This window comes from Homo sapiens, chromosome 8, assembly GCF_000001405.40.
Source record: "Homo sapiens chromosome 8, GRCh38.p14 Primary Assembly".
Lineage (NCBI taxonomy): Eukaryota > Metazoa > Chordata > Mammalia > Primates > Hominidae > Homo > Homo sapiens.
Window position 1 is genome coordinate 69,187,106 of NC_000008.11, and position 26,156 is coordinate 69,213,261.

At 37.2% G+C, this 26,156-nt stretch overlaps 1 annotated feature.

Moving 5' to 3' along the window:
• Window positions 21,496-21,997: an enhancer, noted in NCBI's record as "NANOG hESC enhancer chr8:70120836-70121337 (GRCh37/hg19 assembly coordinates)". NCBI's record gives its function as "activates a minimal SCP1, AML or CMV promoter by ChIP-STARR-seq in naive H9 embryonic stem cells {active_cell/tissue: H9 hESC(naive)}" and the evidence as "EXISTENCE:reporter gene assay evidence [ECO:0000049][PMID:30033119]".

Here is a 26,156-nt window from a genome sequence, read left to right on the forward strand (position 1 = left end):
TGTATGCCAGGTTTTCACTACTAACTGCTGAGCAGATGTCTCAAGTGAGACATTAGGCCTAGATAGTAATTGGGAACTGCTGAAAGCCTCCTCCTTCAGGGGAAATTTTGGAAGACATGTCTTTCCCTCCTACTGTTTAAAGATTGCAGATTGTCAAATTATACATGGCAGATGGATTACAGTTTGTCCTTTTAATGACAGGAGAAGCTGTTTCTACACCCCGGCAAAGGCATCTACTGACATCAAGATACGATTCTACTGTTCCTCAGCTATATTTGGGAAAATGTTTTTTTGGTCTGTTTTAGCAAGTGACTATAAAAGCTTTTCATGATATTATGCCATAATTAAATAACTGGTTTTCATTAATATATTATACTAGAAATGCTATAGGCATCCTATAATTACATGTAAGACTTCGCTAGTATTAGCTCAACTATGTTGTCTTTGCAGTGTATAGGAAAATTACAAGATACATAAAATGTGTGTTGTGAGTCATCTTGGCATTATTGGTAAAATGTTCTATTTATTCAAAAGCAAAAGGCAGATGTAGTTTTTTTTTTTTTTTTTTTAATTTCTGTTGGAGCCATTAAAGAAGCCTAGTCTCTATTTTTTTAGTTTTCTTTTGCCTCTTTTTTCTTAAATTTTTATGTCTTTCTTTTTCTTTTCCCCTTGCCTTTTACATTTTCTGTCTTTGTTCTTTCTGTTGATGCCATTGATTTCTTCCCCAGCAATCATTCTTCAAGGAGTCTTTTGACATGGCTCCAGTTTGGGTAGATAAACTTCAAAGAATGATTATCATTGAACTTTGTCATCTGTTGAATGAATAAATGAAAGAAGAATAGTATCAAATAGAAAATCATGTTTCATAATTTTGAATGGAGCTCTTGAATGCTCTCATCTCCTGTTCAATTTCTCCTTTATAATCTATTCTGTCCTGGAAAAAAAAAAATATTTCCAGGGTGAGAAGGAAAGTCTTTAAAAATACACCTACTCTTCCCTTCACGGCCAAATGTTTAATCTCTTACTATCCTTCAGGAATTTCCAGTTGTATCTCCACTGTTTTATTCAAATGCAAAACACTCAGACCCAAACAGATCTTGTTTCTCTATACCCCAATGTGTCCATCTTACTTTCTCTTTGGATATCAGCAATGCTGTCATAGTCTTGGTACTCTAAGCTCGAAGCTTCTGAATTAGCCTTTACTCCTCCAGGTAATGGGAAGGATAGCTATTGAGTCCGACCAATCTCCTATGAATTATCTCTGGAGTCTGCCTCTTTTTCCTTCATTTCTATCATTGCCCAGTCCATGCTCATCTCCAGACATCTAGACCCTTGCAATAACTGCATAAGTTCTTCCTGCCTCTGTTTTCTGCCTTATGCCTGCACCCCTCTGCCTGAATTGTCTTGTTAAATTCCTCCTTTCATCCTGTTATTTCCCTGCTCAAAAGCTCTCATTACTCTTCAGAAACCTTAGCACAACAGTCATTTATAGGGACAATTGTTATAGAATTCAAGGGGTATCCTGCCAATTAAACAAATGGTCCATTTCTCTGACCTAGTTTCTCCTTTTTCTTTTTTTCTTTTTTGAGATGAAGTCCAGCTCTGTCACCCAGCCTGGAGTGCTGGGTGGAGCGATCTCGGCTCACCACAACCTCCAAGCAATTCTCCTGTTTCAGCCTCTCCAATAGCTGGGACTACAGGCACCCACCACCATGCCTGGCTAACTTTTTTTGTATTTTTAGTAGAGACAGGGTTTTGCCATGTTGGCCAGGCTGGTCTTGAGCTCCTGATTTCAAGTGTTCTGCCCACCTCAGCCTCCCAAAGTGCTGGGATTACAGGCATGACCCACTGCGCCCGGTTGTCTCTTTCAAACTCAGCCTGTTCTCTACAGCAGATCATAGCTTATCCTACCTATTCATGCTCCTGTGTCTCCTCCCAGCATCCAGCAGGTATCAAGGAGATGTAAGTTGTCATCTTTTTGGATGCTCTTTAACTTTTCTGTCCCCAAAAGTTGAACAGGGAACTTTTTTTTTTCAAAGTTGAACTTAGTGCCTTCACAGAAAAATGATGAGTAACAAAATTAGAATTAGGTCTAAGAATACCTAGCACTGTTTTATAGTTCCTGGTGTTTCTTCTCACGTCTCAGCTCCCCAGAATGTATATAGTGTAGATTTTCCTCTGTGGTGTACTGGTGGTCATGAGCAAGGAGAACTTAAGAGCACTCATACTTTTGAGTGACACATGCACCCCAAGGGAATTCCAGATAAACGACTTCAGGTATAATGTTATCCCTTTCCTCCTGGCTGTTATACATGGGAAAGTCCCTTTTTGTTATTTGCTAACAGTACTCTAACTTCAAATTACCTTTGCAATCCTGCCTGCCCATAATCCAAATCCAATCCTCAAGTATATATTTCCTTCTACAATGCCAGCCTCCTCACATTCCCCCCTGGTACAATGCTCATGACTATTTCTCCGTTTTTACTTTCTGCTTGGAATGGCCTCATGCCTCTTTGCAGCCTAGCTCATGCCTCGTCATAGTTCAAGTCTCAGTTCCTGTCCCCATCTCCTCTATGAAACCTTCTCCACCATACTATCCCATGACAGTCTACTTATAAATCCTACAGCTCTTATTGTATATACCATTTATATGCTGCCAATGCCACTGCACTATAATTTATATGTACCAATAGGTTTTTTAAAAATTCATATCTTATTGCCAAAAAATACTGTAAAATCTAAAGGACTGATCATCTAAGTGAATATTTTTCAATCCCTTGGTTTAGTTTAGGCAAAGGCATCTGTAAGGGGAGTGGAATTGGGGGATTCTAAATTTTTTTCAGAGACTTAGAATCCGTTAAAAAATCAAGAATTCCCTGAAGACTAACTTGTATATGTCTTACAAATGTACATACTGAGAATTGTATATACATATGATGATTTTATATGTGTGAATGGTATGATTAATAAAATAATAAAATAATATATTTAAAGAATTATTGAACTTGTCATAGCTGTCAGTCACTTTTTCAACCAATATGTACTAAAACTGAAGGTATTATGAGGGGTTCTTTAAATCACTTTTATTGAAAGTTTATACTCATCAGTCAACCACATACAATACAGGCAAACATAAAATACTTTTTCTCTGTTTACTTCTGCTTTAGTTTGTACAACTTGGTGGGGAATTCTCTTTTTATAGGTAGAACGTTTATCAACTTTGGGTAGTTCCGTAGTGTCAAACATTTGGTAGGTGGGACCAACCAGTTGTTGAATAAATAACCTACCACTAACTGCTCACAGCATGAGGCAGACCACTTAAGGGGTAGCAGGCTGGAACATAGACATGCATACAGGGGAAGCACAATGCTGTTTCACTTCTGTGGAAGCAGGCAAGATAACAGCACCAGGATTTTTCTCTTTACAACTCTCCCTTTTGCCATCATCACTTTTTTGAGATTTCTTGATCTTCCTTTCTAACCTATTCTCAGAGAATTGATGTCACTCAGCTCTAAAAAGTGAAAACGTAGAAACTTTTGCAAAATACCCTAGATAATGGAGTATTACTGCCAAATAATTTATTCAGTTTGCTAAAGGCCCATTAGCCATGAACACTAAAGAAATAGCCTGATAACACTTTGTGGATTATAAAGTTAGCAAGTAAAGAATAAACCGTGTTAAAAATGCAGACAGGAAGATGTTAAGTTTGAATTGAGAAATGCTCCTTGATCCATATGTCTGTTAATGAGACATTTCTGCTCTTATGCATGTGTCTGTTGGGTGACTCATTATATGAAATATGAAAGCACACAGCTTCCTCTAAGACTGATTTTGTACATATCATAAAGCAGAAATATTAGCCATTAGAGATCAGTGTTTCTCCATTAAGAATTAAAATGCGTTAGGACCATGACTGCATTAACTATCATTGAATTAACAAAATATTTCTGTTGCTGACATCTTAATTAGTGCATTAATTATATTTTAATTATCGATGGTCCATAATCTACAACTGTAGACAACTGAATTTTCAGTCATTGATGTTAATTATGTGTTCTGTAATCACTCTCAATCACGGTGTGGAGCACTCCAGTACAAATTTAGTCAGTGTAACAAGCCAGTGCTTTACAAAGAATTTGCCCTCATGAGGATGACTATAGTGACTGCAACTTAAACAGTCATGGTACGCTCCAGTGAGTAGTTTGGGAGGTAAATGTAGAATTAAATTCTTTTTTCACTCAGTCTTTAATTGTGAGAATCCCACTCTAGCATATTCCACCTGAAGCTTTGACTTTGGGTATTACATCACTAAAAAATAAAAAGTAATGCAGCTTCCATTTAAGTGGAATTTTTGCCAACTAAAAAATAATTGAAGGATACACTGCCAAATGTCCACAGAGCCAAACCTGTCCTGTTCACTCCCCTATGTGTATGGCTTAAGAAAGTCCAACAATTCCTTCTTCCAAAAATAGCTGTAAAAGTAGCTCTCTGTTAGAATTAACTGCACCTTATATCTAAGCCAACACATAAGCACAATCTGACAAAGGATTTTTTTGATTTGATTATTCCTATATGACAAGACTTGCAAAAGCCATAAAAGTAAATTACATTTGGAAGAACTTTTAAATGAGTCGTTTTTATTGAAGAAGATAAAAACATATTTGGAATGATACACAATATTTGGACTAATCCAGGACATGTGGGTTTTAGATACAATGTTTTCAATTTCTCCATTAGAGTCTTGTTTCTTAGGGCTTTGAAGGTATTAAAATCCTTAAGAAGCCCTAATTAAGACGCAAATTCCCCCAGGAGAAGTTAATACCTTGAATGTTCGTCAATGAACACCTAGTGAAAAAGCCTGTAGACCAATTCTCACCAAGTGAGAATTGGTGAGAATTTTACATAATGTCAGCATAAGGGAAATGCCAACACTCCTTCATCTCTACCACTTTTTTCTCTGGAACTAAGAAGAAGGTAAAGTAAGGAAATCAGAATGAAAAATACCTAATTCTCAAATGTTGCTTTATAAAATATATACAGAGAGAGAGAGAGAGAGAGAGAGAGAGAGATCTTTTTCTTAATCTAATAACAGCTCGTCAGCTCTCCATGGTCTCCAACCAGCCTAACATTACGTATTAACGCAGAGCTAAGACTGCTGAACAGTAACAATTCAGATCCATTACATTTCTCAATTATTTCAAGCCCATCATCTTCTGATGGTATGGTTCTATAACTGGAAATGTTCAGACCAAATCAGGAAACACATTCATCAATGAAAGCATAGAAGAGAAACTCTTGTCCATCAGGGCATATGAATATGATAAAGAGAATGCAACTGATGAAATGCAAGTTGCTGATATTTACATCTCAGAAAATGAACTGAACAGAAAATATTATATATATAAAGATGTGTACTTAATATGTGTGGGACATAGAAATTTCCCTTTTCTCTGATTCCCTTATTAAAATAGATGTTTTCTATTTCCCTTTGGCAGAATGAAGAATTATGAAGGCTACAAGCATATTTTAATACTTTTTTCCCAAATTTTTTCCTGCTTCATATAAATTACAAACCTCTAAAGTTTTATGTTCCTTAATTTGCAGCAGTTTGTAGCTCTAGAAAGCTCTGAGAGTTAAGAGATCAGAATTCCTGAATTGTGAGACACACAATTCATTGGAAAATATCCCACATTTACTTACCACCTTATAGGGTGCCCTAGTCTGAGAGAGCAATGGCATTCAAATCATAAGAGTTTAGAACTGATGCCATCATCAAAACCTCCCCATGTACAGTTCCTTGCCTGTCAGATAATGGGCCTGAGACCTCTAAGGTTCAACCATTTCCCAGTGTTCCATACTTGATAAATATTCAAGCTTAGGTTTGAATGCAAGTCTTTTGCTTCCCAGAAAAATGTTTTCATGAGTAGCAAGGAGCACTCTGGCTGCCACCTTTAAATTATAAGAGATCATTACTTTTTTAATATTTAGAAATCTGTTTTTGCTTTTCTTGTTGTGTGGCAGTTGTTTCATTTTACTCACTGGGCTTCTTCTATTAGTACCTCCATAATTGATTCACCTTGTAATGTGCCTTGTCTGAGTGCAGTTTTAGTTATCAATGAATTAAAACTTTAAGGTTTTTGGATCAAGGTCTCTTCTAAATGCTTACCTTTTTTCCATTATAACAAAAATTATCTAATGATCTGACAGTTATATGGTAGAGGCACAAAACTGGGGAGGAAAAATAGATCTCAGCAAGCATGTGTAAGTTTCTTATCATTTTCTTATGAAGAAAGATGATTTCATTATAGCATAGTAGGTCCAAAAGCTATGGGAGAGAATTGCATCTACCTTTCCCAATAGCCCAAAAGAAAGCAAGCAGTTAAATTAACACACTCAACAACCACTTCTTGCTGAGAAATCACTAGCAGATTTGCGCTTCCCCATTTCATGCTACTGAATTTGCTCCATCATTTGGCCATGCATATTCAACTTTATTCCTCTTCCACCCACCAGATCAAGTTAGCACAAACAGAATAAGTAGGTGGTACTTTTTAGACTCTAGGACTATTTAAATACACACACCTGAGTCTCACAATCTTGGCTCATAACTTTTTCTGGGGATTTGCCTAGTAAAATATAACTAGATATTGTCAGAGACTTTGTTCTCTGCTTGCTATGTGCTACTCCTGGATAGCACATTATGCCAGCAACGTTATATGATGCCTTGACTTAATCCGTGAGAGTGCTTTGTGGTTTAGGAAGCTCCTCCAAAATCATCTGATGACCATTAGAACAACACTTTCACCTGATTGATTTATGTTTTTTGGTTTGCCCAGATATGATCTAATGGTGAAGACCATTTTAAAAACAGGTAAACTAATCCCAGAATTCTGATGAAATGTGTCTCATGTATTAAAATCAACCTACATCAACTTCATCCTGACATCTTCTTGAATTTAGTAGCTCCACTTTGCTTTTTTTATTCAGTGTAAACTGAAACTGGAAATATTAATTTTCAGAATACAGATAATTTTTGCACCTATATCTCAAAGTTATATTCAAAAATCTGATGTTTGAAAAAAACATGAGGCACTATAGTGTCTTCTCAAAATCTGTTAGGAATTATTGATCTCAAAAAATCAGAGGTGTAACACTAAATTTACTTAGATTTAGCTTGATACAACTCTGTAGCACACACAAAATCTCATATATATCTCAGTTTCACATATGGAAATACTAACTGTTGCTGCACTCTGCAATTCTGAATTAGAATTAGACACTCTATTCCCCTAAATCTTTCTATTAAGGGAATAATTTTTTAAATTGGCTAAAAACACTTGTTATATTAGAAGAACTCTAAAACAGGGGACTATTTGGCCAGAGAGCTGTTGTTGAGTTGATGGATAGAAATTGCTTATTCACCACCTGTTGGAAAATGTTAGTGTTCGTGTTCAATCATGTGCCTAATTTAGTGTGTAATTGGAAATGTAGCGCTTGCAAGGCAGGCAAATCTTTTTGAAGATTCAGCTATTTATATTGAGCGTATTAATTACACTGAAATAAAGGAGAACACAAAGCTATCAGGAGAACAGAGACTACTTTCAAAGTAACTGCTCAACAGGACACACACTGGTTACTTAGAGAGATAAAAGCACCGTGTTGCCTGAATAAGTGTGAAATACTTCAGGGCTGCCATATTATCACCATCACAAATTGTCAGCAGATGTTTCTTCTATTCAGCTTAAATGGGCACTGATTCTTCCTAAAAAAGCATATACTTCCAACGGCTTTTAAAAGCCTTCATGTCTCTTTTTATCTCTGTCCTATGTTAACATTAAAATTTTCCTGCCAAGTTTATTTATACATGTTATTTGAAATAGTGTACACAATGGATACATTGCAACTTTTCCAGTGTTTTTCACTATTCTGCTAAGTCCAAGCATTTAACAGAATGGTCTTAAGAACTTTTCTGAGTGAAACTTTAGTTACTGCAGTCTGTTTGTCCAGCTTCACCATCAGCAGGATTGGGGCCTCTTCAAACAACTACTTCAACAGTATTGTCCATGGCAAAGAGAGGTTGCTACTTAGCATTAACCCACATTTAAGGCCCTGAACTGCAGTCAGTTAAGTTCCAATGCAGTAAAGAGAGAAATGTAGCATCAAAGAGAAATTGAGAAGAAAGAGGATTCCCTAGAAGTTGTCATATGGCTGAGTAAAAAGGGTATGGAAGAGAGCTGTGAGCAGAGAAGGCAACAAAAATGCCAAGTGATATTCTGAACAATTTGTATAAGGTGGGATTATTAGTTGATTATTACAAAATATTCATCATTAAATAGTAGCATTTGTGCAGAAACCCATGGTAAACCTATGGATCCTTAGGAAAACTAAGTCTTCTTGCTGTTCATCTTGATTCGTTACATAGACATACCCAAGCGAACATAAATATGACTCCAAAGTTTTGAAGAGTAATGTGATGTCAGTCTTTCATATGAAAAGATGCCCTTGATGTGGGTTGAAGATGGAGAAGAGGCAAAACTTGTTTAAAAATTCTTATTCCCAATTTTCTTTACCATTCCAAATTTCTCTAATTAAAAAAAAAAAACTTCAGTCGGTAATAAGCCTAAGATTTCTTGTCTCATCCATCTCACCTTCTTATTTTTCAGAATATTCTATTTTCCTGGGAGAATAAGCTCCATGTCCTATCTTACACAAATTTAACTTCTCTCAGCATTTTTTTTATTTTTCTTCTATACCCAGCATCTCCAATCAACCCCCAAAGCCATAGGAACTAAAAAGCAAGAGAGTGAGAAAAGCCATAAATAATATTTTAAACTATATTTTGCCCATTGTACTCAAATATGATATAGTTATCTTGTTTATATTAACTTATAAGCTTTTATGCTTACATTAACTTTTGTGCTTTGGTTAATCTTAATATTCTCGTGTGTTCTTTTAACATAAATAGTAGGTTAAAATTTTTTCTAGAAAATAAATAAGAAAAAAATATATATATATAAGAAGACTAGTAAAAATCCAGAGAATAACAATGTAAGATAGAAGAAAATATGTCAAATGAGGATCACCTCAGTTCACTACCCTTTGTTTAAAGATAGTAATGTGTGTTAGGTGCTCTGCAGCATCTGCTTATTTGATTCATACTGTCCTAGATTAAACACCCAGGACTTGGACAGTGATGTCATAAAGTTAGGAAATAAAAGAAATTTAATTTACAATGAGTTATGTCTCCCCAAAATAGCTATTATGTTTTAAAGGATTTTTTTTTTTTTATAAAAAGCAATGAGTAGTGTCTGAAAGATGGTGAACTAAGAAATCCCAATGCTCATCTCTCCACAAAAACAACAGTGAGAGAACTACCTACTGATGAAAATAGCTGTGGGAAAACCCCAGAGTACAATGACAATGAAGCAACCCAGTGGAGCACAAAATCCAATGATAGCCAACATAGAAAACTATAGAAAGCATTTTACCTGTGCCACCCCATTTCCCAGCCTGGCACAGTCAGCACCAAGAGGGATCCTCTTGGTTCTGACTTCTACCAGTGGGGTAAACAGAGCACAATGATCCCAGTGGTTTTTGCCATTGAGCCTCTGTAGTCTTTGCCAATGCTGACTCTGGTTGACAGAGCTGCCCAGAGTCCATGTTCCTGTGCCGCTCTCCAGTCCAGAAGGAGCTACCACTATATCCCTTCCTTGCTCCCTATATGTGCTATACCACAGAAACTGGTGTGATTGCTGCCATGAGCATGTCCACACCTTAAACATTGGTACCAGTGAAGCTCTGCACATGGCCTTCTTGGATCCCAGTACCACACCGTATGTGTGCTCATGCCCCAGACTCATGCCCCAGACTCTGGCACCACCATGTGCATGCCCACACCTCAAACCTGGGCATCAAGAGAGATTGCCTCTGCTGTGACTTCCTTATGTGGGGAAAAAGGAGACTAGGAAGACCTTAGCAACCCTCACCATCACCATGGACACCCACAGCTTTGACTACCAAGGACCCCCACTGTCTTTGCTTATGCTGACCTCAGTTGACAGAGCTTCCCAGAGTCTATGCTGCTGTGCCACTCCCCACCACTACTCCCACCAGAGCCAGAGCCATCACACCCCACTCACTAATGCCCTTGCATCCACCACAGATATAGGTCTTTTCATACCACAGCTAGTCCACAAAGTCTGGAATAGGTGACATTTCCTTCAACTATGCAGACATTAATAAAAAGCTACAAAAAAACACAAAATATCAAGGAAACATAACCCAACTAATGGAACACAATAATTTTCCAGTAACTGAGCCCAAATAAATGAAGATCTACAAATTGCCTGAAAAAGAATTCAAAATAATTGTTTTAAAAGAATTCAATGGGCTATAAGAGAGCACATATAGACAACCCAAGGAAATCAGAAAAACAATATATGAACAAAGAGATAGAAATTATTTTAAAAAGAACCAAACAAAAATCCTGAAAGTGAAGAATTCAATAAATGAAATTTAAGAATTCAATAGAGAGATTCAATGGAAGACTCAATAAAGCAGAAGAAAGAATCTACAAAAATGAATACAGAGTATTTGAAATTCTTCAGTTAGAGAAGAATAAAGTAAAAAAAGAGTGAAGAAAATCTACAGGACTTACACGATACCATAAAGCAAACCAATGTAAGCATTATGGGTATCTAAGAAGAAGACAGAAAGAAAGGGAAAGAAATCTCATTTAAAGAAATAAAAGCTGAAAACTTCCCAAATCTTGAGAAAGAAATATACATCAAGATTCAGGAAGCTGCAAATTTTCCAAAAATGGAGCTGAAAATTTTCAACACAAAGGAGACTACACCAAGATACATTATAATTAAATTGTCAAAAGTCAGCAACAAAGACAGAATTGTGAAAGTGACAAGAGAAAAGCAACTAATCATATATAAAGCAACCCTTAAAATGCTATCAGTAGATCTCTCAGCAAAAACTTCGCAGGCCAAGGGAGAATAGCATGATATATCACAGCACAGAATTTAAAAAAAAAAACCGTTAATCAAAAATACTCTATCCAGCAAAATTATCTTTTAAAAATGAAGGAGAAATTGTTTTCCAAACAAAAGCTAGGGGGAATTCAACAAACACTGATGAAGGAAATTAAATAATACACATTTAAATTGAAAGATATTCTGTGTTCATGGATAGGAAGAATTAATATTGTTAAAATGTTCATACTACCCAAAGTAATCTACAGATCCAATACAATCCCTATCAAAATCATAATGGCATTTTTATATAAATAGAAGAAACAATCCTAAAATTCATATGGAACTGCAAAATATTCAAATAGCCAGAGCAATACTGAGAAAGAGCAACAGGGCTGAAAGCATCACACTTCCTGACTTTAAAAGGTATTATAAAGCTGCAGCAATTAAAACAGTATGGTACTAGCATAAAAGCATACATATAGACCAATGGAACATAATAGAGAACCCAGAAATAAATCCATGCATCTATGATTAACTGATCTTCGACCAGGGTACTAAGAACATACACTAGGGAAAGAATAGTTTCTTAAGTAGTGTTGGAAAACCTAGATAGTCACATGAAGAAGAATAAAAGTGGACCCATAAGTGAGATTACATCAAAGTAAAAATATAAACTCAGAATGTAAGTTGGTACAGATATTATGGAAAACAGTATGGAGGCTTATCAAAATGAAAAATAGGACTGCCTTATAATCCAGCAATCCCATATCTTAATATACATCCAAATAAAATAAAATGGTCTTAGGTGATCAGATATCAATGTGCATTCCCAATTTTTCTCACGCTGTTTCTGCTCATGTATCCTATGCTCTCAGAAAATCAGACTGCTTACTACTCTTCAAATAAACTCCATACTTAGAGACCAGCATGACTTTGCTTATGGTCACTTTTACTTGGAATATAACCCTCAGGCACAATCCACGCATGCTAAAATCCTACTGCATTTGCTGGTCCAGTTCCAATATTGATTGCTCTGAGAGTGTTTCCTGAGCCTCTGAAAATGGTCTCTACGCCTATACTCTTCTTGTTTCTCACTATTATAGCATGCTTTCACTTACAATAATTTGAATACTAGCCTTATCTTTATTCCTGGTCCCTAGCAAGAATGGAGTTTGCTATTCCTGGCATCCTCCACACCTAACACAACAACTTGCGCATAGAAGACATTTCATACATATGTCTTGAAACAATTAGCCTAAACAAGTTAGTTTCTCAAATAAAATAATAGTTCCATTGGGTTCTGATATGGTTAGGCTTTGTGTCCACACCCAAGTTTCATTTTGAATTATAATCCCCAGGTGTTGAGAGAGGAACCTGATAGGAGGTGATCTGATCATGGGGGTGGTTTTTCCTCCATGTTTTTCTCATGACAGTGAGTGAGTGGGTTCTCATGAGATCTGATGGTTTTATAGGTGTTTGGCAAGTTCTTCCTTCGCTTGCTCTTTTCTCTCTTGCTGTTCATGTGAAGAAGGTCCTTGCTTCCCTTTCACCTTCCACCATGATTGTAAGTTTCCTGAGGCCTCCCCAGCCATGTAGAACTGTGAATCAATTAAATCTCTTTCCTATATAAATTACCCAGTCTCGGAGAGTATCTTTTTTTTTTTTTTTTTTTTGAGATGTTGTCTCGCCCTGTCACCCAGGCTGGAGTGCAGTGGCACGATCTCGGCTCACTGCAAGCTCCACCTCGGGGAGTAACTTTATAGCAATGTGAGAACAAACTAATTCAGGTTCTGTCATCTGTGCATAAATTTTCTACAGCCACCATAATGAACTGCAGTTCCTTGTTAGTAAATTAAAAGAAATTTTAAACCTAAAAAGTACAATAATACTTAAATTTCAATTAGAGTAAATTAAACAATATTTCTTAAAAGACTTAAAGCCAAGGACATGAGGCATAACTTGATCAAGTGCATTATGACATAGAGTTGTGCAAGTGCTGATTTTTAAAATGGGTTTTTAGTATCATTAGTCTTGTATTGGCTAAGAAACAGAATGTTATTGCATTAATAGTGGAGTGGAATTTTCAAAATCTACAATTACTATCAAGATTTTGTCTTGTCTGGAATAATTTTATGCTTGTACCTGATATATTGTCTTTTTTTCTTTTCCCAAATGGGTCTATGTTCAGGTGTGATGACTTTGAAAGAAACTCACACTATTCATTTTAATAACAAACACCTGTAATTATAACTGCTTGAGAAGACAACATGGAGGTTGATCATTCAAAGGAGTTTTTTTAAGTTAATAATAACCAAAAGGATACATATATTTGTGAACACCTAGCACAAAGTCTGACATACAGTAGAAACTCAAGAAACATTTATTGAATAATGAGGAATGAATGAGTGAATAAAAATAGAATCCCTATTACCTTGAACAGAAACACTAGTTAGATATTCACTTCAATGACAAAAAGGCTAACTAACTTAGAAGAGTGGAGGAAACTACCTAAGTATTAATTTTCCAAGAGTTAATGTTGTCATTAACTTCATTTATAGTCCTTAATTTTTAAAAATAATTTTAGGAAATGCTTTCAATCAGGTAAGACACTGAAGGTAAGACATAAGAATAGGCATCACTTTGGGAGGCCATGGCAGGCGGATCACCTGAAGTCAGAAGTTTGAGACCAGTCTGGCCAACATGGCGAAATTCTGTCTCTACTAAAACTATAAAAAAAAAAAAAATTAGCTGGGCATGGTGGTGTGTGCCTGTAATCCCAGCTACTTGGAAGGCTGAGGCAAGAGAATTGCTTGAACCCAGGAGGAGGAGGTCGCCACGAGCCGAGATCTCTCCACTGCACTCAAGCCTAGGAGACAGAGCAGGACTCCATCAAAAAATAATAATAATAAATAAATAAATAAACAAAAAAAAACAGAATAGGCATCATTCCAAAAAATCTATTTAAATGTACATATATGGGCTTTTGGCTACTTGTTTCTTTGACAAAACAATGCCTTTAAAAACTTCCAATATTTGCTTTAAGGAAGTTTCGTATACTAACCACCACAGCTAAAATTCTTTCCTAGAAATAATTCTCAAGCTTCATTCATGTACTTGCTTCTGTGTACCTATCCTTTTCTCTCTCTATTTAAAGCCTTATACCTTGAGGGTTCTGGCTTCAGGATGTGGGTGGGAAGATCATATTCTTAAGCTGAATTTTTTCTACAGGCCTGGGTCTTAATGGAACTTTGTCTCTTAAAATGTCTCTTTGGCTTTTCTTTTTTTGCTCCAGATCTAAATACAAGAGATTTTTCTAAACTTTCAAGGACCCAAATGTCTGTACTCTCTAGTTTCCATTATTTTTACATGCAAACCAGATAATTCTTTTATGATCCAGATTCTCTTTTTTATGAGACCTTAAAATAACAAAGTAAGAGTCAACACACACTACTATTCTGGCACTTTGTAAACATTTATCTTAGAATTATAAACTCAGTAGGCATATTGAGTTTAAATTATTTTATGCAAGAGTTTTCCCAAAGTTTTGTTACTATATGACATGGGTCTCTAGCTTTCCAGTTTGTCTTCAGTTTTCTTTCACTTGCTATCTGACTGCTAAGCCAAAGATATAGTTTTGTTTTGTTTTACATGACAACAACCCACTTCTGGTACAAGTTTTGGTGACAGTTAAAATAATGATGGCTGCATTAACAGATGAGTACTCATATCTCTGTGGATTAACAAGTTTATTTTTAAATGGGTCTTCTATCTTTTGCATCTTTCCTTCTCTGGGGACCTCGTGTCTTCTGCATTCAGCTGGCTAAAGGGGAAAATAAATAATTCTCATGTAGGATGATTTTTATCTGCTAGGGCTCATAATGGTACACATTATGGCCTTCACATCCCACTGGCTAGAACCAAGTCACATGGACTCACCTAACCATGATGGAGACTAGAAAAAGTAGTCTAGCTTTGTCCACACAAAGAGGAGAAAGTAAATTTGGAGATCAGAGATCCAGTCTCTGGCATGAAAAACATCTCTTAATATCCTAAGAACAAGACTTCAGGGTTACACAGTCAGAAACAACTCTGGAGTGTACCTCAGGATTAAAACAATAGAAACATTATTGTTGCCACTGGGCAGACATATTGCAGTCAGAAGTAGTGAAACTAGCCTTTCACATCGCTACTCAACAGCTGCCACTGTATCTCTGAAAACCAGATGCAGCTGTGGCCACCTTTTCCTAACTTGATTCTCTGCAGTCTCTACCTCTTTTCGCCACCCTGTCAATTGCTTCCAATTCAGCATCCATAGAAATGCATCTGCTTGGTGGGCCTGGGTCATGTGCACAAGCCCCAGTCATAAGGGAAGCTGGAAAAGCAAGCTCTGAAATTTCCAGCTTCAGTGGAAAGTGTCAGGTTCTTCCTCAAAAGGTAGGATACTCCATAAAGGTGGGAAGAATTTTCAGACAATGAATAGCCTCCCCTCAGCCAATAGAAAAGGAGACATGTTGGTCATACCCACTATGCAGGCAGTTTGCCTGGAATTGTTGAAACCATTATATGAATCGCAGAACTATTTCAGATTTTTGGCTCGAGACAAAAGTCTAGCAACATTTTGATCCATCTGACATTGGGAAAGTACAATCTCTTTTATAATCTGTTGAAAATCATAGGTGAGAATTGCCAGCAATGACATAAATATGAATCAGAAATGAGAGATGCCCTGAATGAATACAATCTCTTCCCAATTTACACATGGTTGCTGTACACATTTTGAGAAAAAATAATTTTTTAAAATTACACTTGAAGTATCTTCAGTAATTTCAGAACAGCATAGTTTAAAGAGCTCTTCAAAAAGATTTGGCTATCACACTGGCAGTGAAATTCTGAAGCATTGCCTGAGGACCAAGCAAGTGGGTCAACGTCGTTCACACGTTGAAGTAAAGATGTTTTGTGTGATGGCATCTACCTGCCTAACTGTCACGTGCTGGTGTGTTGTTCAAGGTGGAGCTTTATGAACCTGATTATGTCCAATGAGTTTTTCTTTTAACTCTTAAGGGAAATGATGACTGAGAACAGTTGATTTCACTAGGATTCAAAATAAAGAAGATGAAAAACCTATCATTTTTGAAGGAAAATGAAAATTATCAGCACCACTGAAAGAAATGGACACATCAACATTGACCCAGACCATTGACCATTGACCCAGATATTCACCCAAACGAAAGCACCATCAGATAAATGCATAAAAATGCAAAGTGAAAGACAGGCTCTAATTAGGACACACTTTATAGGTAAAAAGATTTCTTATGACTGACAATAAGAATGCTAGTGGTTGCATGACAGTAGCATTATCTGTTGCTTTTATTGTGGGTTTTTTTTGCTTATGGGAGGCAGCTTAGCACAATGGTTAAGAACATTGGATCTTGATTTTCCAATTTCTACTCTGAAACCTTAGCCTCTCTGTATGCTGCAGTTTCTCCATCTGTAAAGTTGGGAAGAAAACAGTGCCTGTTTCATAGGATTATTATATGTAACTGTATTTGACAAATACCTACCATATTCTGGAGACTACTCTAAGTGCTAGGCATGCAATAATGAGTAGAACAGGCAAAATGATCTCTGCTTCATGCAACTTACCTTCTGGGGGTTTCTAGAATCAGTGAGATAACACATAAAGCATTTAAAGAATCTTTAACACAAAATAGGAATTCAATAAATAATAATAACATCTATTCAGTAATATCTATTATAATTCTTTATTAGTGTTCCTTCCTCTTTTTTAAATTGTTTATTACAGTTCACACTAATGTCATATAGAACAAAAAGTAATATTTAAAAATCATCAGAACCTTTTCAACCTACTAGATTATGACTGTTTATTAGTTTTTTATGACAAAACTCACTTCAATTTTAATGTTTTTGCATTGCTCTTCAGTTCTTGAAAACCTAACAATCAAATAAATCTAGAGAAAGTACACGTTTTTTGTTAAATTGTATTCTTCTCCTTTGCTTGATCAGGATATATCAGTAAATAATATTAAGCCCAGAATTATGCAATTATATGCTAAGAAAATATATTAAAGAGTTTAGACTACTTTTGATTGACTGCCAAAAATCCATAAAGTTAAAAGTTACAATTTTTTTCTATTTTTTTAACCTATGAATCTCTTTCACCTTATTTTCTTAATTCCCAATTGATATAGATGGAAATATCCCAGGAGAAGAGTGGATCAACCAAAGGAGCAAAATGCTTTCCAGGCACGGAAGAGTCATATCTATAAATTATTAGGCCGATAGATTTCAAACACTCCACAGAGGTTTGGGAGAATCATCCATTATCATAAATTACATCCATTTTATTTAAAGTCATTACTTCAAAAAGATGTTATGTACTTTTATAAGCTTCTTTTTTTTTCTTTTTAATTAAACACATTTCCCCTAATTTATTGTGTCTGAGACATTCGTTAATTGTTGGATCTATAGATGTGGAATCAAAAATAAGTAAATGTCTTTTTTTTTGGCACATAACAGTTGGGCATGCCGGTGTCAGGACAGTGTTGGCAACTTGGGAGCATTTCACAGCGCTCTGGAGCAGACTTTCATTTACCTCCCGCCTCCACTTTCGGAATCCCAGGAGTTAGAGATGATTAGGTAATTAACTCTCCCTCACTAGGCGGTTTCTAGAGCACTGAGTGTATTCTTAAAAATTAGATTGGTTTTGTAAAATTGATGTGATGAATCTTTTATGATTACCTTGGGAGATATTTTCTTTACTGTTCATATCAAGGAAGAAAAAGCAATTATATACACAGACACATATAGAGAGACGTTAAAGAAACTTCAGAAAGGAATATTAGATTTGCCTGTGCATTTCGATGGGCTCTAAAAAGGAATGATTCTAAGGATCAAAGGTCAATTTTTGATTTTACAAATATAACATTAAAAATTAGTTGTAATGAGAAGAAAATTCTGATTCATCATCCAGAAGCTCATTCTCAAAGACATTTTAGTAGCAATGTCTTATTTTTTTAAATCTCAATAGTTCTTTGGCCACCATCAACTCTCCCCCTATTATTTCAGTAAGAACCTAACTGTCCTCCATGCCTTGTCACATGGTTTTGGCCACCTTAAGTCTGTTCTGTGCTATTAAAGAACAAATCAAGCCTGGCTAACATGGTGAAACCCTGTCTATACTAAAATTACAAAAATTAGCTGTAATTTTGCACATCTGTAATCCCAGCTACTTGGGAGACTAAGGCACAAGAATCGCTTGAGCCTGGGAGGTAGAGGTTGCAGTAAGCTGAGGCTGTGTCATTGCACTCCAGCCTGGGCAACAGAGCAAGACTGTCTCAAAAAAAAGAAAAAGAAAAAGACAGAAAAAGGAAAGAAAAAAAATCAGATGTATTCAGTGAACTTTCACTATAGCACAAATCTGATCATAGCAGTCTTCTGCCATTGCTTTCTATTACTTATAAAGTTCAAGCTCTTTCCCCCAACACTTTATCATCTGATTCTTGCTTACCTTCTTGTCTTCTCTCTTATCTATTGCATTGTCTCCTTCCTCACTCTAGGCTACATGCCATCTTGCAAAACTCTGAACTCTCTTACTGGTAGGCCATTGTATATGTAGTTCTTTCTCTTGGAATGTCTTTCCTCAACTTTGCCGAGCTAAATCTTATCCTTTTATGAGGAATCAGCTAAAAAGAGAACCTCCTCTAAGAAACTCTCTTACCTAAGGCTCACCTCCCTCACCCTAAAACTTGAGTAAAAAGTCTCTCAAATATGCTAAGACAGCAACACCTAATTACCTCTATCATAGTGCTTATTGAACATACTACAAAAAATTACCTGTATATTTCTCTTCCTCAGCTATTAGACTATAAGCCCCTAGGTCAGGGTCTAAGTCTTACTCTCCTTCATATCGTAAGTGCCTGGCACACCACAATGTCTCAATACACACTTACTGAAGAAAGAGTTTTTCAGCTATGTGCAAGGTATGATGCTGGATCCTACAAGCAACTGTGAGCTTTGCTACCTGTGCTGGGATGGTTAGGTTGTAATGGCCTAAGAGAACTATTTTGACCTGAATTCGGATTAAAGAGATTGGAGAATTCTTTTCGGGTTGGTTAATTTTATGTATTAGCTTGACTGAAACATGGGGTTCTTAGATACTTGGTTAAACCTTTATATAGCTTGTCTGTGTCTCCATCCAACTCTCATATTAAATTGTAGTTCCCATAATCCCCACATGTCATGGAAGGGATCTGGTGGGAGGTAATTGAATCATGGGGGTGGTTACCCTCATGCTGTTCTCATGATAGTGAGTGAGTTCTGATAGTTTTCTAAGGGGCTTCCCCCTCTTCACTCAGCACTTCTCTCTCTCCTGCTGCCATGTGAAGAAGGATGTGTTTGCTTCCCCTTCTGCCGTGATTGTAAGTTCCATGAGGCCTCCCTAGCCATGCTGAACTGTGAGTCAATTAAACCTCTTTCCTTTATAAATTACCCAGTCTTGGGTATGTCGTGAGACTAGACTAATACAAACCTCATTCTGAGTGTGTCTGATTCTGGATGGGATTAACATTTGAGTCTGTAGCTTGAGTAAAGCAGATTACTCTGCAGGGTACTCAGATTACTTTGTAGAGTAAAGCAAATGATCTCTCCAATGTGGTTGGGCCTCAACCAGTCTGTCAGAGGCCTGAATAGAGCAAAAGGTGGAGTAAGGAAGAACTTGATCTTTTTGCCTGTTTTAAAACTGGGGCATCAGTCTTCTCCTGCACTAAGACTGGAGCTTACACTATTGGTTCTTATGGTTCTTAGACCTTTGGGTTTGGACTGGAACTGTACCACCAGCTCTCCAGTATCTCTGACTTGTAGGTGGTAGATCATGGAACCCTCAGCCTTCATAATCACATAAGCCAATTTGTTTTAATGAGTCTCTTTTTATATACATTCTTTTCTTTTCTTTTTTTTTTTTTTTTTTTGAAATGGAGTTTCACTCTTGTCACCCAGGCTAGAGCGCAATGGTGCGATCTCAGCTCACTGCAACCTCCACCTACCAGCTTCAAGTGATTCTTCTACCTCAGCCTGCTGAGTGGCTGGGATTATAGGCATACACCACCACACCCAGCTAATTTTTCTATTTTTAGTAGAGACAGGGTTTCACCATGTTGGCCAGGATGGTCTTAATCTCTTGACCTCGTGATCCACCCACCTCAGCCTCCTAAAGTGCTCGGATTACAGGCGTGAGCCACCGCACCCAGCCTTTTCTTTTTTCTACTGGCTTTGTTTTCCTGAAGAGCTCTGACCGATACACCTTCTCTGCAAATTTAAATTTGTTTCCAACTAGAAGCAGAAGGCAGGGTAGAATTTTTCTCCTCAAAATGTTGTAAGGACTAAAAGGAGAAAAGAGGCTCAATATCTTTTCCTAAACTCACTGTAAAATCTGGAATTCCCAGTAAGTTATTTCCCTTCAGATGCTAAACCCAGTGAAGTACATAAATTGTTTTAATGGAGATAAAGACTTTACCATGAGGTCAAACTCTAATTCAGTTGTCAGAAAGCAACTCTATAGTGAGTGCAGTGAAAGAATCAGCAAAACGTTCACCATAAAGGGCCAATTAGTAAATATGTTAGGCTTTTCAGGCCATACCTATCACCTTTGTTGGTACTACTCAAACATACCTTTGTAGAGCAAAAGCAGCCATGGACAACCCTTACATAAATGGGCATGGCTGTGTTCTAATAAAACTTTACTCACAAAAACAGGTGGAGGCCAATTGTTGCCTACAGACCATAGATTGCTAACCCCTGGTGTAGTGGTTTAGATAGAGCACAGACGGTAATGTCAGAATGCCTAAACTCAAGCTCTGACTCCACCAAGTATCTGTTCTGTAACCATGGGCAAGCCACTTAATCTCTATTAATAAAGTACCTACTTCTTAGGGCTGCTGTGAAGATTGAACACATTATGTGTCTCAGGTGTTTACGGAAGCATCTGAAACATAGCAAATGCTATAGGGGGTTATTCTTTTCAGCTCATCTACTTTGGCACCTGTAGGGGTGGAGTTTTTATACACCACCTGTTTTCTAAAAAGAACTTAAAGTATCCTGTAATGAAGTTATAATATGTCTTATAGAAGAAAATTTTTTGTACTATTGTTGACACAATCTGGAGCTTTAAAACATGTCACTGCAAATATTATGTAGTAATCTCATGCTTAGTAATGTACTCTGTTAGCAACAAAGAACATCTTATTGCACTAAAGACTGAGAAATTATCTTGAGAAAAAAACAGTTTAGATAACACTGGGGAAAAGAAAGTTTCAGCTTCTTCAGTGGTTAAATTTTGTCATATAACTTTTTAAGGTTTTGACACTTAGTTTTCCTCAATTACTCAATTTTTTCTTTTCTAATTCGGAATCTCCCAGTTGTTTAAACTGATAGAAAATATCTTAGTAAAAACATGATCATGTATTTATTTTTTATAAGGTCATTCATAATCATTTCACCCTAAATTATCTTTTCTTTCCACCACTTTGATCATTTTACACTCATGAAAACTCTAAAGAAGGTTTTAATTATTCTATATACAACATGACCAAGTGCTTCATCTTCGAGTCCCCAGCTCCCTTCAGATTTCTCAGGACCCTCCTTCACTACCCTTTACTCTCCCACTCATCTGTTCCCCTCCACCCAGATAGGGAAGCACTTCAGGCCTTTCATCTGTGCATTCCCAGGGCCTGAGCTATGTCTGGAATGTCTTCTCCCTCGCCTCTTCATAGTTCCCTCCCGTCTATCATTTATGGAGCTTAGCAGATCACACCTTCTCCTCAGCCTTCCCAGAGTAACTGAAAATGCAGGAGTTCCCTCCCTCCTGCCTTGCCTTTAGAAGATAGGAAATTGTGCCTGCAAATGCAAGAGGGCATGCACCACAAACATGTCATACTTTTTAACTGCAGTACTCTAATCGTTGCATTTTGTGTGATTCAAATATCATTCTTTACAGTTGTGCTCTTCATTACTGATTGCTAATTTAAATAAGATAGAGTTAGGAACTTGCTGTGTCCCCTGTTCGAAGAATTTGCTTTCTGGGAACCAGGACCTCTAGATCAGAGCGTAATAAGGACAGGAGGCACAGATTCCCCAAGAAGGTTACTGGGAGTGATGGTAGTTAGTATGTGGTAAGCAGAATGGCACCCAAATATGTCTACACTTGAGTCCCAGGAACCTGTGAATATGATGTTACATGGCAAAAGAGACTTTGCTGATCTAATTAAAGTTATAAGCCTTAAGATGAAAAGATTACCCTGGATTATTTGAGTGAACCCAATCTAATCACATGAGCCCTTAAAAACAAAAAAAAATTATCCAGCTTGAGTCAAAGAGGTGCAATAAAAGTGAAGTCAGAGAGATTTGAAGCGTGAAAGAGACTTGATCTGCCATTGCTTGACAGGGACACATGGAAAGCATGAGAGGGAATGCAGGCAGCTTCTAGGAGCCAAGACCAGCCCCAGCTAACAAGCAGCAGAGAAACACGGACCTTAGTCCTAAGACTAGAATTAAATTTGAAAGAACTAAATTTGACCAACAACATGCATGAACTTGGAAGCGGATTCATCCCTAGAGCTTCCAGAAAGATGTACAGGCTCCCCAACACCTTGATTTCAGCTTTGTGAGACTCTAAGCAGAGACCAAGCCAAGTCTACAAGATATTTAACTTAAAGAGCTGTGAAATAATAAATGGTTATTGTTTTTAAGTTTTGGTATTTTATTATGGCAATAATAGAAAACTTATACAATAGGCCACTCCTACTTTAAACTCTTGGCTTCCCATCTTGTGTGTTCTATCTGTTGTAAACAGAGCACCATGTAATGGTTGGTGATTTAGGGTATATTCTGTGTTACGGAAGATGGTTCCCCATCCTCACAGATCATCACAACGCTAGTGCCTCCCTACGCCTCAAGCAAGCCATTCCAATATTCTATTAGTTTGGCAGCTTCTAAGAGTGCAACATGAGATAGAACCAGCAAATCTCATATTCACATAGCCATTGTCCTACATATGCCTTCCGATAGTAGTGCTAGCTAAGACGCTATGAGAGGGAAAGACAAACACATACCCAGAACATTTATCAATTATAATTAATTAAGAGAAACTACAGCCCCTTCCAGAATAAAAGGGTTTCAATGTAATCAACTTGCCATTATATAGCTGGTTGGTTTCCTTAAGGGATGATGCTTCACTGGGGTCTCAGTATTTTCTTATGTCGCCAACATTGGGACATCAGCAGTTTTAGTAGCTACATCAGCCTTGCTGAGTGGGAGACCATGCTATGGTGAGCCCATGTGTAGCACCCACCCTTGCTACCGTGGATACTGCATTGATTAATCAAATGACAGAGGCTACCTCATGTCAACCAACTGGGTTATTCTATCTACCTGGTTGTTTAGTGTGCTTTCTTAGCAGTTAATATTTTATGGGTGTTAACATGGAACACAAAGATAGTCTCACTTTGCAAATCCAAGAGGATCTTGGTTGATCCAAGAGGTCTAAATTAATTCTCCTACTGGTACCTCCAGACAACTGAATCCCCAAAAACCTTACTGCAAAACCTGAGTACTCACTAAGTTTATCTCCTATCTTCTGGAGCATATGTCTCACCAAGTGCTCCAACATACTTGCTATTCTTGCTTATCTATTGCTATTAAATGGTGTCATCATTATATTGGACAATATGATGCTCTGTGGAATGTCCAGATAGTGCAAGTCCCTTTGGACTACATAGTGACAAAGGATGGGAGTATTAACATAGCCCTAGAGCAAGACTACAAATGTATACTGTATAGGCAGCAACTAAGAGGTCCACAAAAGAGCGATTGTAGTTCCTTTGAAGGCTCTAGGCAATTGGAAATTTTTAGCACCTTTCCTTTCATTTATTGCAGCCTTTTTGTATACCCTATGTGAAAACACCAGCCCTCCGTGGAGCATATGGGAAAAGACAATCTCTGAGGTTATTGTAATTAATGATTGTTTTAGTCCATTCAGGCTGCTATAACAAAATACCATAAACTAAGTGGCTTATAAACAGCAGAAGTTTATTTCTCACAGTTCTAGTGGCTGGGAATCCCAAGATCAAGATGCCAGCAGATTCAATGTCTTGTGTAGGGCCTCCTTCTCTTAGACAGCCACCTTCTCACTGTAACCTTACATAGTGGAAAGAGCAAGGGATCTGCTGGATCTGCCTCTATATCAAGGGATCTGCCTTTACAAAGGCACTAATCCTATTTGTGTGGGTTCCACCCTCATGATTTAATCATCTTCCAGAAGGCCCCATTTCCAAATACCATCACCTTGGGGATTAGAATTTCAATTTTTATGAATTGGGGAAGGTGTCGGACACAAGCTCTCAGATCATAGCAGTGGGTAAAGCTAAGAGATGTTAAGGTCTGGTGGTTTCCCACACTTTAGTGGGACTCAACTGTCATGTAGCTGGTCTTGTGCTTTTTAAATTTAGACTGATCTCTAGGAAACCAAGCTATGCTATAAGAAACTCCAAACAGACTGGCTTATGATGTTGTATTTAATTCCCAGGCCACTTTCTAATAGTAGTATGTTGGAGAATGCTACTAGAAATCATAAAGTTGTTTGACACTATGAAAAAATAAAAAGACTGATTCTTTCTAGAGGGATTATTTACCTAGGCTACAGTAAAGCCAAAAAAAAATGTCCAGTTCTACTATGGAATGTACACGTTCAGCATCTATTTTTCTTATATAATTATGCCAACCAGTTAGTCCACTTAATGCTCAAGTAGAACTGGCTAACCAACACTGACAAGTTGCTTACTAATCAGCTGCACTTTCCAATATTCCTTATCAAATACCAAAGCCTTCTACCTTTATTTTACCCCATGTTATTATTTCCAGAATTATAGTTTACCTTTAGATACATTTCTCATTAGCTTCTTATGAGATTTTTTCAGGAGGAATGATTCCAATGATCAAAAAACAACAGGCCCACTGCTCAGAAGATCTCTGAAAATGGTGAATTCTACTTTCTGTGGTGAGATAGACACATTTGAAGCTTATCTGTAAATTTGTGGGTATAAGATGAGGGTCAGGGCTGGAAGTGCATCTTTATACCTTCAGCTTCATTCCTTTACTGCCTTCTTACTTAACATAGCATGGTGTACGGAGGGCTCTGCTCCTGCATGTACCCTACGACCTTTGCTAGGATTTCATCTGCATGAGAAGGATGGGAAACAAGGAAGTGGCTTCTTCAAATACAAAAAGAGGATTGCACCTCAGAGTTGGCAAGGAAACAGCAAAAGAAACTAAATAGGAATGAACACCTGGAGGAGATGTTGGAATTCCATTTTCAGTTCAGGTCTGTGATTATTGCAGACTTTTGTCACTCTGTAATAAATCACAGAGCTGTATTTTAGTGTAAAAAAATAATTTGTATGTAGATGAAAGCAATGTATTTGAAAAGGAAAACACACACAAAAAAAAGTTAACGCTAACACTTACTGAGTGCTTACTATTTGCCAGGACTTCAAAAGTGGTTTCTTTGTATTAACTCATTGAATCCTCACGATTCTATAAGACTTCTGCTACAATTATTTCCATTTTAACAGATGGGGAAATTGAATCCAGAAATGTGACAAGCCAGAAATGTGACAAAAAGTAACACAACTAGTGCTATGGTTTGATTGCTGTGTCCTCTCAAAATTCGTATGTTGAAACTTAATCACCAATGTGATGGTATTAGAAAGCGAGGCCTCTGGGAGAGCTCCAACCTCATGAATGGGATTAGTGCCCTTATAAAAGAGCCCCCAGAGTGCTGTCTTGCATCTTCCACCACAAAAGAACACACCTAAAAGGAGCCATCTATAAGCCAGAAAGTGGGCCTTTATGGGACACCAAATCTGCTGGTGACTTAATCTTGGACTTCTCAGTCTCCAGAACTGTATGCAATAAATTTCTGTTGTTTATAAGCTACAGTGTATGGTTCATTGCCATAGCAGCCCAAAAGAGCTAATGCAGCTAATAAGTGGGAGAGCCAGGATTCATCAGAGTTTGGCTGAGACTATAAACTGTATTAATCTAACACATGCATAGCTAAACCCCCTCACCTCCAGAAATATTTAGAGCTGCCATTGTTACTCT